This window comes from Homo sapiens, chromosome 5 (assembly GCF_000001405.40).
Source record: "Homo sapiens chromosome 5, GRCh38.p14 Primary Assembly".
Lineage (NCBI taxonomy): Eukaryota > Metazoa > Chordata > Mammalia > Primates > Hominidae > Homo > Homo sapiens.
In genome coordinates, this window is record NC_000005.10 from 4879501 (window position 1) to 4881225 (window position 1725).

General features: G+C 52.9%; 1 annotated feature.

The window, feature by feature from the left end:
- Window positions 258–327: an enhancer, noted in NCBI's record as "active region_22316". NCBI's record gives its function as "activates an Ori minimal core promoter by ATAC-STARR-seq in GM12878 lymphoblastoid cells {active_cell/tissue: GM12878}" and the evidence as "EXISTENCE:reporter gene assay evidence [ECO:0000049][PMID:35858748]".

Below are 1725 nucleotides of genomic sequence, written 5' to 3' on the forward strand. Positions count from 1 at the left end.
AGAGCAAACAAAACATGGATGCTAACACTTTCTAATAGAGGATAACAGCAGAGAGGAAAGTCGACTGTGCACCGACAATCCCCAGCAGCAGCCACACAGCAATGCACTACACTGAGGCTCATTTCCAAGCCCCCTGCTCCTCTGACGTAGGCCCATGAGGTCCTAGGAAGAATTTATTCATCCTAGAAGGATGAATTAAATCTGTCTGACACTGGCCTGATTTTAGTACTGAAGGTCCTGCACCCCAGGAAGTCCCCAACTCGGTCCCAGGTAGACCAGGACAGTTGTTCACCCTAACTTGGAGGCTAGCTTTCAGACACCCAACACCCAATGCAGAGGGACAGGAAATTGGCCTCTCAGCCAAGCTGTTCCAGACCCGACCAGAAGAGGGCAGCCAAGGACCATGGCTGTGAAATAGACGTGGGGTTGCCAGGAATCTCCACAAACACAGGCCCTGGTCCACTTCCCAGGTCGAGGCCTCTTTTATGGACAGGGCTGGGGAGTGTAGACTTCGAGGGGATAGAACTCTAACATAGGTCCAATGAACCCACGGTCCCGGTGTTTGTGAAATGTCCTCGAAGTCCGGTCTCCCGTTCTGATATGCTTCAGTGTAAATTCTTCCTTAGCATTATTTGTTTTTATCAGATGTAAAGAATGAAGACGTCTTGTCATTTAACAAAAATGACAGCTGTGGTTTTGGAAGAAAAAAAAATTACGCCTTTTCATCAAGTATTTGGAGAATCACGGGACCCTTTAGAAGTCTCGTTGGTACTTTTTGTGCTGACACTGGCGGGGTGTGCAGCTGCCCCGACCATCAGCCCATCCCCGTCTGCGGGTGGAGATGGCTCATGGACAGGAGGCAACAACCCCGACGGGAGCAGCAGCTCCCGCAGGAGCCCACAGGGACATCCTCCTCTTCTTATCTGAGGCCTGCAAGTGCCAGTGCAGGAGCACCTCCTTGGGGCAGAGGGAGTGAGAGACAGGAAGGGGAAGGACTCAGCCCAGCACATGGGGGACCGTGGCAGGTGCACCAGGGGTGCCCCCGCAAGGGGCCGGCTGAGGTCAGAGGGGCTGCGACTCATGTAGCACCCACCTGCGGGGCTGACTCCAGAAACCAGGACCTGTGCCCAGGAAGCAGACCACCCTCCAGGCCATGCCCTTCCGGCATCAGTGAGGTGTGCAAACTGCTTGGCAACTGGGGTGCAAGGCCGGGCGCTCTCGAGGCCAATACATCAGCTGGTTTTATTCGTTAACACAGTGGTGCCTGGCATGGGGGAGGGCACTTAATAAACCTTTGTTGGATGAAGGGTTACGATCACCGACTAGCGCTGCTTTCTAGAACAATTTTCCTGGGAGTGCCCGGCCCTTGCTTTGCACCCTAAGTACTTTATATTGTCTTATGCTCTGCTAGGTTCCCAGGGCTGCCTGAAAACTTAAAATGAAATTGATAGCTCCAAGCAACAGAAAGGCTGGAGTGCTGGAGGGCAGAATTCTGAAATCAATGTGTCCATGGGGCCGTGCTCCCTCTGAAGGCTCCGGAGGAGACAATTGCCTTGCCTCTCCCGGCTTCTGATCCCTGTACGCATTCGGCAACTGGCTGCATCCCTCCATTCCCTTCTGACCTGGCCTTCTCCTCTTTTTTCCTGTGTCTCTCTGTGTCCAGATCTGTCTCTTATGAGGATATTCTCATTGGATTTAGGCCCACCCTCATCCAGTATAATCTCA